Genomic DNA, 12,827 nt, shown 5'->3' with positions numbered 1-12,827 from the left:
GAGGATTTTAAAACTATGACAGTATTCAAGGTTATTGGTAATATATTCTAGACCCTTTAAAAGTTATAAGGTGGTGAATGTCCTGTTATCGGATGGATCCAAGGAAATAAAGAATGACGACTTGCTGAGTTGATGTAGAAGATATTCTTACAGAGGGTGGAGTGGAGTTGAATCGTGTTCTCCGAAAAGTTACATATGTTCAAATCTAACTCCTGGTACCCCTGCATGTGACTTTATTTGGAAATAGGGTCTTTGCAGACATAACCAAGTTAAGATGAGGTTATACTGGATTTGAGTGAGCCCTAAATCCAATGACCGGTGTCTTTATGAGAAGACCATGTGAACACACACACACACACACACACACACACGCACACGGAAGATGGCCATGGCCATATGAGGACAAAGGTACCAATTGGAGTGAAACAGCTCCAGGCAAGGAATGCCAAGGATTGCGGACAACCACCAGAAGCTGGAAGAGGCAAGGAAAGATTTCTCCCTAGAGCTTTCAAAAGAAGCCTGGCCCTGCTGAAACCGTGATTTCTGACTTCTGGCCTCCGGCACTATGAGAGCAAAAACTATTGTTTTAAGTTACCCAGTTTGTGGTCATTTGGTATGCAACCTCGGAAACTAAAACTGAGGGTAAGACTAAATGGCCTGAAGGTTTTTTCCAACTATGATAAGCTATAGTCCTAAATTGGTGAGGGTTCCTTTTTTGGGAGTTCATACAGAAACATCTTTTTAGACTGATCCCCACACTGTCCTATCGTGACAGAGAGAAGTGTGGCTGTGAATGAGAAGTAGAGAGGAATGAAAGCCATTGTAGGCCCTTGAGGCAGAGTCCCAACCGGACCCTCCCCTCCTCAAGAAGGGTACTGGTTCTTTGCATGTGTGCTGCCTTCTCCTACCCCCATGAAGAATAATTGCACACTTTGTGCTGGCTCCTGAGGCAGAAACCAGACCCCAGTCCCCAGGGTTGTCAAGTGGCATTCCTGACTCAGGAGCTCCATCCAATTCCAAACAATTAGATAATTTAATCAGCATTGCAGAAGGCACATACTAATGCCATTAAAGGCAAGATCTCCCAGGGCAGTCTGGGAGGAGCAGAAGGGGAGACAAAGTGGAGTGGACTCAGCCTCAAGGTCACTGTGTCCTCCTCCACTGAATTGCCTGAGAGGGATGGTTCTGAGGCAATGCTGTTGTTCCCAGGGGTGGACAGCAGTGCTCCCTTCTCTAGAAACCAGGGTCAAAAACCAAGATGGAATCTGCACAGAGGACAAGAAATCATCCAGAGACTTGTAGAAGAAGCCCTGCATCTTCATGAATGGTGCATGGGACTAGGAATCAATAGGTCTTGTTTCAACCCTGGATCCATCATATATCAGCTGCATCACCTTGCACAAGGCACTTACTCTCCTAAGCCTCAGTTTCCACATTTGAAAATAGAGACAATTGGCCTGGCACGGTGGCTCATGCCTGTAATCCCAGCACTTTGGGAGGCTGAGGTGGGCAGATCACGAGGTCAAGAGATCGAGACCGTCCTGGCCAACATGGTTAAACCCCATCTCTACTAAAAATACAAAAATTAGCTGGGCTTGGTGGCGTGCGCCTGTAATCCCAGCTGCTTGGGAGGCTGAGGTAGGAGAATTGCTTCAACCACAGAGTTGGAGGTTGCAGTGAGCCAAGATCATGCCACTGCACTCCAGCCTGGCCACAGAGTGAGGCTCCGTCTAAAAAAAAAAAAAAAAAAGAAAAAGAAAAAAGAAAATAGAGACAATTACACTGCTTTCTAAGATTTGCAGAGTAAGGGAAAGGAATACATCATTTTTTGTTAGGATTGGGAGTCAGAGGTTGTGTTCTAGCAATCATTGTGCATTGTTTCAGGTCAGGTCCAAAACTGGAACCAAGGATTTAATAACTATTATGAGCAAATATATGGAAATTACAATAGTGCCTATGGCAGGGATCAAAACTGTGACTACCTATTTTAATGTGTTGGCCTGAAAACCAAAATATACCAGGATGCCATGCTTCTTGCTTTCCAGAGGAGGAAAATAAGGCTGTCTGATTTCCCAAAGCCACATCACCAGTTAGTGACAGAACAATGACTGTCACAGAGAAACTGTCCTGTAAGTAGCAGTTTTTCTTGTGCCAGACACTGTGGTTTACAAGCCTCTCATTTAATTCTCATAACAACTCTATGATGTTCACATTCTTTTCCCATTTTACCATTGAGGAGACTGACATTAGATAGAGGTTAAGCAACTTTGCTGAAACCACAGTGGAATGAGCCCTGGAGCCAGGAATCAAACCCACTCTGAAATCTGTGCTCTTAGCAATAGCAATGGAACCCGGCAGTCTTCTTAGTATGTATCTACCTGCTTCTAATGTACATGAAAACTTTGTCAATGACAACTTGCTATACACATGACCACATTCATTATTAATATTAACTGTTAAATGTAATTATGACATTAAGAGAAGTTAGCATTCGTTGGACTTTAAAGCTCATCAAAAGCACAGAGGTGATTCATAGGTCCTGGGATGAGGTACATATAGAAACTGCAGAGCAATTTGGCACATTCCTTTATCATAGGGTCTTTTCTGAGCTCATCAGTCAAAAGGAAAGAGAAGATAGTACCTTGTTTAAACAGGGCCAGAGATGTTAGTGGTTTTCCCTGATGGTAGAACTTGTAGTGGTGAAATTCAAGGCATATCTAATGTCCCAAAGGAGATTTTTGGCATCCTGACATTCCCTGTGGTCAGCTTCTGTGTATGAAAGAGGGATCCAGATTAGTGGAGCAGAACTGGATGGGTCCTGGTGTCAGCCTTAGAGAGAAACAGAGATCATGGGTGTTTTCCATCCCAGGCCCACAGGGGTCCCAGCATCAGAACAAAGATCTTCCAAAGTGTGACTCCATGATGGTGTGCCAGTCTTGACAGAGAGAAGAAAAGTTGGGATGGGCAATGGCTATAGGGAATTAATACAAAACTTTCACTTCAGATGGAAGGTGCAAGAGAAACATAAGGCATAGCCCTTGCCTTTAAGGAATTTGCAATCTAGTGGGAAAGATGAAGGTGAAGTGCCCCGGTGGGGTGCAATGGCTCACGCCTGTAATCCTAGTACTTTGGGAGGCTGAGGTGGGCAGATCATAAGGTCAGGAGTTCAAGACCAGCCTGGCCAATATGGTGAAAACCCATCTCTACTAAAATTACAAAAATTAGCCAGGCGTGGTGGTGGGCACCTGTGGTCCCAGCTGCTTGGGAGGCTGAGGCAGGAGAATCGCTTGAACCTGGAAGGCGGAGGTTGCAGTGAGCTGAGATCGCGCCACTGCACTCCAGCCTGGGCGACAGCATGAGACTCTGTCTCAAAAAAAAAAAAAAGAAAAGAAAAAAAGAAAGAAAGCAAAGTGCCCAAATTAAGCACACTGATTAGCAAAAGGAGAGGTCAGAGGGAATTGCAGTCAGAATGCAGCAGAGGAGAAAGAATGCTGGACTTGAAATTAAAACACCTGGGTTCCAGTAACTTCTCTGCCATTTCCTGGACATGTGATCTACAAGTCACTTATGCTCTCTGAGTATCCTTGCTTCTCTCATTTCTGAAATGAGTTTCTTTTGAAAAAGCAGATACCACTAGTGAAAATATTTCAACATATATTTATTAAATGACTTATCTGTTACAAGTTCACAATGAAAAGAAGCTAGTGTACAAATCCTTAAAATTCTGTATAAACAGAAAGCGCCATGGCATCTTAAAAGAGATGGACCTTGAGAAGGTCCTAAAGATTGTTCAGGCATTGGATGACTGTGGGAAGTGAGGCAGGGGAATGCCACATTCCAGACTGTAAGATTAACATGAGCGTAGATTCAGGGGAGTGAAATGAACTTAGTATCTTCAAGGAACCACTACACCCCGGGGTGGTAGGGAGGGGGCTGTCAGAAATAAGATTGAGCACAGAGGGTAGCGCAAGATTATGAGAAAGTTTGAAAGATGGCCTTTAGCCCTCTGATATTATGGTTGTGGAGTGTAATTTTTATTCAAGGGGAAGAAAAAAAAGAAAAGAAATGCATGCTGCTCACCCAAACATCAGGACATTCTGTTCTTCTGTGATTGTGCTTCGTGAAAATGTTCTCCTGCAAAAAAGAAAGAAAAAGAATGATTAAGGGAAAAAAATAACTAGAGCCACAGTCATTTCAGCTCCACTGAAAGCACAGCAGGAGAAAGTAGCTGTGTTTGCCAAACTCCAGAAAGAGACACAATTGATGGGGGTGGGGAGAGGGGAGGGTGAGGCAGGGGGTGGGAGATGAGGAGGAGCGGTTCTGCGTTGTTTTATTCCCCCAAGAAGATATTGTAAATAATGGAGAGGTATAGTACATGGAAGGGGAAATTACTCTGACAGGGCCCTTTTAGGGAGGAAAATGGAACTAAACACACGTTCCATTATTCCTGATCTTTCTTTCAACTCCCCATTTACATGGGGGCTCCCCGGAGCTGATGTTTCCCTTTTGCTGTCATAAGTAGTCATTGACTGGAGCCGATCATTTCGAAATAACGGCCTGCTACTCTTCCGCTGTCGTGATTAACACAGGGTAATAATTATTAACCACACTGATAACTGCAGAGGAGGGGGCGGCTGCCAGGTTGCCCTGCTTTTCTGAAGCCAGGAAACTTCCCTGTCATTCCACCAGGGGTGGGTGATGTCCTGGAGAGACCACAGAAGGCTTTCTGCCGGCTTCTCCAGGAGACCAGGAGCTGGGGCTCCCGCACCCTGGGCAATCGCCAAGGCTGGGTTTGCTGTCATATCACGACCTTGTGCAACAATGCCAAAGTAGGAATTCCACAGGAAAAAGTGGAGGCTGGAGCTTGAGGGATGGGGAAGAAGAGAGAAGGTAAAGAGACACTACGGGATTGTCCTATGCTCTTGGCCTTTGAAACGTCAGGAAATATTGTCAGCTGAATGGATCGAAGGGGCTATAGCCACCCATGACTCAGAAAGATTCATAACACCAGAGCCCTGAATGGGAGCGTTTATCAAAGACAGGCAGAGAGAGAAATCATCCGACTTGGGATAATTCAAAGGCAAAATCCTATTTCTCAGCTCTGTCCCTGGATTGCACTCCCTCGTTGATTTTTTAGGCAGTGAGTTTCTTAGGCATTAAAAGAAGCCTTTTTTTTTTTTTTTTTTTTTTTTTGGCGTCAACATCCTTCCACCGTTCTCCAAGGAGAGAGTTGGAAGGGCGGCAGCATAGCAAGCTGGCGGTTGTGCTGGGGAGTAGAGGGTGCATCAAAGCTAATTCCTGCTTTTTACAGGTGGGGAAACCAAGGCCAGAGGAGGGAAGGTGACCTATGTGATGTCACACTGCCAGGGAGTGCAGAGTCAGGAATCAAACCCAGGTCTCCCGACTCCCAAGGTGGAGTTTTTTTTTAGTTCTGTTGTTGCTGTTGTTAATGGAGACAGCAGCCTTCATCCTACCAGCACTGATTGATTCTAAGTCAAAAGAAGCCATTCCAGAAAATCAGTGCTGCAGCCCCAGAGAGAAAGAGGAGGAAAGCCAGAAGGGAATGATGGAAAAAGAGAACTGCTTTTGCTGATCTTTCTTTTCTGTCCCATATAGCACTCATAATCCCCGGCAAGAGAGTATTTCACAAAAGGAATCATAATGAACTTAATATTAAACTGACTAAGAGGGGAAACCTAAACGTGGACCTTTCCTTCTAGGAATTCGAAACTCAGAATATGGAAAACATTGTTAATGTGGTTATTAATTGTTTCATGATGTCAGCGCTGATGCAGTTGATCCCTGCCTGCCCAGCGCTTGTGCCACTTCTGGATTTTTCTTTTCAGACACTAGCAATTCACACCCTGTCCTAAATTTATAGCATGGGGCAGGCACTGTGGTTTGCACCTGGATGTCAGGATATTTGATTTGCTTAAACAGCGTGTTTGTTTATTTTTGCATGGAGTGGTGGACTTCACTCTCCCAGCCTCCTTCCCGGGCAAGGTCCCACCCACCCCTGCAAGGCCCTGGACCAGCCTTCACCTGTCTGGCTTGAGGCCTCCCAGATCCCCCCTGGGCCGCCACTTGGCATTGCCTCACAGTATACCAGAGACAGGCCCCCAGAGCAGGGACTGGCTCTTCAAACCAGCCCCTGTTCATCACTCTTGTCACACTCGGGGCTATAGTCCCAGGGAGAACCTGGCACCGTGTTAGGTACTCCAGATATGAGTCAGGAAACAGAAGTTGGAGGCTGGGGGCTTAATGGGCTGTCCCTGAAGAGCTTGCAGTCAGAAGCAGGAAGAAATTCTTCTGCTATCATTCTTGTCTTTCTTTCTCCCCTAATTAGGAGGAGCTGTGAGTTCAATTCTGTTGGGGTTTGTAGGGCACAGATGCAATCAAGGCGAAGTCAGACACTGGCGTTTTGCTCACCCAGCTCCCCGTGGATTTCCACAAAGACCGACTGGCATGTTCTCTTTAAGGGGTGGGGGTGACACGGGTTGCACCCAATTATCCCATTATTCTGAAAGGCAGGCGTGGCCACATATGTGGTGTTGTACAGGGCAGAGGTGACAGAAGCTAGCAGAGATTTGCATGTATTGGCAACTTCTTTCCTACAGGCCAATTCCCATTATTAAACACACACCCACTATAAAATAGAGGAGAATTGAGCTCATTAGTATGATCGTTTAAAAAAATCATGAAAACAATTACAACAACATGCTCTCCTTTGTAAGAGAAAACGATGCTCCTGACCCTCGGCAGAACTAAAGCTCTGCGATGCTTTGCCTGATTCGTGATGAGTCTGGGGGCATTCTCCTGTGGCAGGGGCTCCAGGTCTTTGGCCGGGGAAATGCTAAGAAGCAGGCTGAGGCCTGTTGCTTCCCACTTACTGGCTTTCAAACTCCCACATTGATGGGCCCCCACACTTTCATCACTTTCTCCTCATCAGAAAAGGGCAAAATTCGAGAAAATGGGTGCCAGATCAGCCTGCATTTACATTCTGGCCATACCACACACTACCTGTGTGACCTTAGGACCATCATGTGACTTCTTGATCATCGGTTTCAGCATCTGTAAAATGGGATGATAAACCAGGCATGGTGGCTCACACCTGTAATCCCAGAGCTTTTGGAGACCGAAGCAAGAGGCTTGGTTGAGCCCAAGAGTTTGAGGCTGCAGTGAGCTATGATCGCACCACTGCACTCCAGCCTGGGCAACAAAGCAAGACACTGACTCAAAAAAAAGAGGGAGTGGGTGATAATAATTACTTAATTACCTTGTAAGATTAGAGTTGTGAGGATTAGGATTAGCACAGAGTAGGAATTCAATATATTTTAACTTATACCATTATATTTTGATAATTATGGGCAACTGAAGAAAAAGTATTGTTTTGTCTCAATGAAGACGATGGGACAAAATGATTACTTCCTACCAGTTCTGTGAATTTCTGATCTCAAAGCAAATAAATGGCGCTGATTTTGTCCAGTCTTACCCCCCCCCCCCACCCCGAGAAAGCCCTGGCAGGCCCGCCCAGAAGACATTGAGCCCTCAGAAAGCCTTAGAACCCAACTGTAGTTCTGGCAGCAACTGTCCTCTGAACCAGGCTATGCAGCAAAGACAGGAGGTCAGTGACTCAGAACAGGCAGGGGATTCCTGGCCAGTGAGGGCTGCTGAGCAGGGGTGGACCCCAAAAGCACATTCACATAATACATCTCAGCCCACAGGGAATGGGACCATGCTAATTTCTATGCAATCACAGCGTGTTCTCCAAGGCACCTCAGCCGCCCCTCTCTTCTCTTGCTCCCTGGGAGGGTGTGGGTGTGTACGTGGGCTGCTTAGTAATGAGGACCAACTCCAGCCTGGGTGTGCTTTGTGATTCCATAGATGAAGGTTTGTGGACAGAATCTCTTTTTCTCTGCAGCATTTTTGAGTGGAAGAGTAGGAGAGAAGGAGGGACCCCGAGGTGATGGACAACAATGACCCCATAAGCAAAGGGATATTTCTGGTGAGCCCAGCTGTTTTTCCTAGAAAACCAACCAAGAGAAGAACTGCAGTTGTACAGTTGGGAAATAGGTTTGCCTCCGGATGGAACTTTCAGGTTTTAAGAGAACATTCCCATGGATTTGTATAATGCTTTCTGGCTTGTGAAGCTCTTTCATAGTCAGCATCTTGCAAGACATGAAATGCAAGGGACATTATTCCACTTTATAAAGGAGGAAACTGAGGCACCAAGAGATTTACCCAGGGATTATGTGACCAAATGATTAGTTTCTCCTTTGGGGGGATTCTTTTAGAAAAAATAAGAGAGGAAGGCCCTTTTCCTGACCCTTAGTGCTAGGAATAGAGCAAAAAAAAAAATAAGTCCTGAGCCTCAGCCTTCACCTTCCATGCCTGGAGCCCAGTTGTCCACACTCCCCTACCCCACCCCTCCTCTGAAGCCTTCTGACCTTGCAAATGCCAGAGCCTTGCAAACTGTTCCAGGGACCTATTTAAGTAGGTTTGGGACTGCAGTTGCCTGGGCTTCACAGAGAATATTCTTCTCCCAGAGCAACACACTAGATGGATGGAGGAGGGGAGGGAGGGTTAGGGAAAGAGGACGAGGTATACAGGGACATAAGCTCTGCTCGTGGGAGGTTTAGTGAGAAAGGAGCGAAATCCTGCCTTGTTTGATTTGGAGCCTTAACAGGCTTGCTACTGTTTAAAGTACACAGGAAAGTGGGATTTGTGAAGGGAGGAGAGGGGAGGGGAGGGGAGGGAAGGGTGACGTCTTTATGAATGGTACTGAGAACCCCGGAGCAGATGCCCTGTTCCTGTGTCCTGGGCTGCCAGCCCCGTTGCCTGGGCTGAGACCCACCACTCTGGCATCCCGCAGTCTCTCTCTTCCATTCACAGGACTTGGCCCACACACTCCAGGCTGGCCTGTCTGGACCAATCCCTTTGTTCCTAACAATGTAGGGGTTAAGGGGAGGCTGCTCTGCTGCTGGGGTTGCCTGACAGCATCTGCTGGATGAAGGTGAGGTACCTGGTAGGGAGACAGAAGGGACCACATTCCTGCCTGTCTATAGTGGCAAGCCTGGGCTCAGGGCAAGTGAAAGATGACATGCATCTTAGAGCAGAGACCAATCAACTTGGTGGTGGCATCAGTGGTCTCAGCTTTGGGAGCCAGGTACAAACCGGGCAACAGCCAGTGCACCATCCAAACATTGCCCTCTGACACTGGCAAGCAGGAGCACCCTTGGCTCCCAAGCACAGGTCCAGGCACACATCCTCCTGAGCCCACCTCCCAGCCGACTCAAGGCACCGTAAATATATGCATGCACACACTCTCAGGCAGCATTCCCATGCTAAACACTGATAGCTTGCCACCCCCCGCCTCTAAAGGGAACAGACTTGATGCTGAAAGCCTGCCAAAGTGTGGCTGGCTTCCAGCACCAAAAATACCTCCTGTGATCCGAGGGGCTACTGTACTGGCATCTATTTGTGGGGCTGGAGCTGCTGCTGTGACATAAAGGACTTCCCCTAGGGATGGGCTAGTTGCCCATTTGGGCCTGTGCTCCCCAAAGTCTAAGAGCTTGCTTTCCAGGGCCAAGGCCTGCTCCCAGCCTGGAAAATGCAGGTGGCAGCATCTTAGCCAAACCTGCCTTCCACAGGAGAAATATTCATTCTTCACAGGAAACATTCTGTGGCATTCCAGAATGTTGGTGCCCTGTCCTCTCCCACTTCTCTCATTCTCTTGCTTAAGTAACCCATCTAGTTACTTAGCTTGCTTCTTTGACAAGCAAAGAAGAGGCCTGGGGCCTGGAACAAGAATGCAGAAGTGACAAATGACTTTCAAGGTGAGGTTCCAGGAATATCTTGACTAGGGAAGGTAGGTAGGTTGGGGTGAGTGGAGAACCCTGTTGAGTGTGCTATGATTTTCCAATGATGAGGATTTGGCATAAGATAAACATTTCCCCATTCATTCATTTGTTCATTCATTTGATAAATATTTGTTAAATATCGACAGCCTGCTCACAAATATGTTGCACTACATCTATCCTTCCAGATGGAAATGAGGACGAACTACAAGGCCCTGACAGAGGACTGGTCAGTCCCAAGGGGCTGTGGGCCTGATATCAGATGGACAGAATGAGGAAGAATATAGTGAAGGGCAGAAACATACAAGAAAACCAGAAACCTCAGAAAGAGATAGATCTGAGGTTATAGAATCTGTAGGGTTATTGCCATGCTTTCTTTAAAAATATGTGCCAAAGCAGTAATTATGGACTGTATATAGTTCCATTAAAGGAAGAAATTTAGTAAATTTGCTCTTCATAAATATTTGCGTAATAAATGAATGAATACCCAGATCAAAGGGAGAAGGTTAACGAGCAGATGTAAAGACTAGAGGTTCAGGTATACCGCTGTTGCCTCAGAGGATGTCAAATCTAAATACGAACCATGAACCCAAGGTTTTGGTTTTTTTTTAAATTCTCAGAGCATGTTATGGTAATTAGATGTTTAGCTAATAAGATCCATATTTGTTCTAGCCTATTAGGACTAAATATAACAACAATCTTTCCATTTTGATGATACTATTACTTCTTCCAACACGCTTACATATATCTATTTTAATTCCCCCAGTTGTCTGGAGAGTGAAGACAGAAATTCCCATCTTACAGATGGACAAACTGTGGCCTAGAGAAGTTAGAGGTACTTCATCCACTGTACCTCCCAGTAGATCAAGTTAGCGCTCTTTCCATTGCTATGCTGACCACAGGCTCTTCCATAGTCTCACAGGACTCAGATCTTAGACCCTGTTCAGTGGCAATGTGGAATCTGGATGGCGTCGTGCCACCCTGTCAGCCACAATGTGTCCTCCCGCCTGTGTTCCCTCTTTCTCTCCCTTTATTCAGGAAAGAGAGGGGAGGTGTGGGGATAAAAGATGGGGTGAGTGGAAGAGTCTGTTTCATTTTATGCTTCCTTGCTCTTCATTCTAAGATTTATTTCTGGACCACAGGAGTGGAGGGTGGCATATGAGAAAATTATTTCAATTGTATCATAATCTTCCCAAGGTGTGATTAAATTGAGGCATAGGGAAGAGAGGTGACCTCTTCCAGAGTCAGACACCACTTGATTTAGAACCAGAGGGCCCTAATTTTCAGCTTGGAGCTTTATCAATTAGATATCTCCAATCCTACCACGGCTGGTCTTAGGTGTAGCTGGCCAAACTCCATGAACAAATGGAGGAAGTGTTCCAAAATCTTCTAGCATCTTCTTCAAATCATCTTTTTTAATAAATTGTGGTTTAGATTCAGTCTACCCAGAGATAAAACGATCGACTAGTCTGTCTGCATGGGGAGACAAGATCTACTTATAAAAATAAATAAATAATAACACAGGGTAAATATGATAATTTATTGGTGTGTTACCAACAATGAATGCTAAAGAAGTTTGAAGGAAAGAACAGGTATGGATCAGGCAACACAGCTTAGACAGATTCTTTGTGGTCCCACAGGACAAAACTAGCAGTAGCCAGTGAAAGTTACAGGAACACAAATTTCAGCTAATTACAATGAAGAACTTTTGAAGAATTCGCTGATTTCTGCAGATGTTGGAGTAAAGCCTAGATCCCCCAGTCCTGTGTTGAATGTGCGATTGTTCGAGATGACTGGTTAGTCTAGATTTCCTTTTCTTCTTCCTCTCTCTCTCTCTTTTCTCCGGCTCCCTTTCTTCATCCTTCCCTCCCTTCGTTTCTTCTGCCGCTACTGCTCTAAGAATTTGGTGCAATTGCTTTTAGGTATTCGCAGTGATTTTTGTTGTTTTTTAGATTTATACCACTGAGGACTGTGGCCACGAGAGGGCAGTAGAGGAAGCTTATCAGAATACTTGGACAGGAGTAAACTCGTGTGCGCTCTAATCGCGAGCAGGGACTACGCAGATCCTGCGAACTCGCTGGGGTCCAGCTTGCAGGCCGCTTCCGGAAAGCCGTGTCTAGAGGCTGCGGAGTTACTGAGACTGTGTGGCGAGGAATCAGTGGCCTTGAGGGCACCGAGACATTGTCATCCAGAATCCCGAAACCTCTCACCTTAGGTTATTAAAATAAGTTATCTTATTGCCACCCCTCTGATTACCCTGCCAGAAAGATTCTCTGAATTGGATATAGAAAGCTCTTCTCCCGTCCCCAATGCCCCCATGCAAGTCGGGACTTACCAGATGCCCAGGATCCCTATCAGGGCTGGAAGTTTGAGATTCAATTCAGAGCAAGGTTCATCTTCTCATTGCAATAATAATAATAACAACAACTTCAAGCCTTATTTGACAGCTTGTTGGCCTTTTTCTTTTTTTAATTTACAAGAAGAGGAAATTTGCTCCCACAAATTCCAAGACTCTAGTCTCAACCCTACCAGACAAGCCCCGTTCCTCCCCACTCACCCCTCACTCAAATTACAGATGAAGAGGGAGGTGTGCAGGATGTGTGCGGTGACAGGTGATGCGAATGGGGGGGATTCCCTGTCCCTACTGCCCTCACCCACTCTTCCTGTGTTCTGAGCTCCCCCCTAACCCCAACGCTAGACCTTCTATTCCCCCGGGGGCCAAGCCAGCTGGGCTCGCAAGGCCCGACTCGAATTCCCGGGCCCTGGCAGCATTTTCCTTGCCCCCTTGGCTACTTAAGGTGGCCGATGGGTCCGGGCTGAGCTGGGCGCAGGACAGGCAGCCGAGCGGCCTCCGGATGCCAAACCTGCTTCTCCTTTGTTGACAGCTTGCGGAGGAGGAAGTCCGCGCGGGCGGGGGAGGGGGCAGGGTGCTGGCGGTGGCGGGCGGTGCCAGCAGCGGGCGCGGCCCCA

General features: G+C 46.4%; 1 long non-coding RNA gene across 2 annotated transcripts in view, besides 1 other annotated feature; it reads right to left on the bottom strand.

The window, feature by feature from the left end:
- The window catches only part of LOC105372889 (uncharacterized), an 82,866-nt gene extending 78,345 nt beyond the window's left edge, over positions 1-4,521 (bottom strand). The window contains exons 1-3 of one of the 2 annotated variants that reach the window (XR_922508.2): positions 4,436-4,521; positions 4,081-4,134; positions 2,642-2,769 (exon numbers count right to left, since the gene is read on the bottom strand). This is a non-coding gene — a long non-coding RNA (uncharacterized LOC105372889). The remainder of the gene's footprint in view (positions 1-2,641; positions 2,770-4,080; positions 4,135-4,435) is intronic. The other variant, XR_922509.2, reaches the window with a different exon arrangement.
- Positions 12,762-12,821: a silencer, noted in NCBI's record as "silent region_1777". NCBI's record gives its function as "represses an Ori minimal core promoter by ATAC-STARR-seq in GM12878 lymphoblastoid cells {active_cell/tissue: GM12878}" and the evidence as "EXISTENCE:reporter gene assay evidence [ECO:0000049][PMID:35858748]".

This window comes from Homo sapiens, chromosome 1 (assembly GCF_000001405.40).
Source record: "Homo sapiens chromosome 1, GRCh38.p14 Primary Assembly".
NCBI lineage: Eukaryota > Metazoa > Chordata > Mammalia > Primates > Hominidae > Homo > Homo sapiens.
Note: the sequence above shows the minus strand (reverse complement) of the source record. Positions and strands in the feature narration are given on the sequence as shown.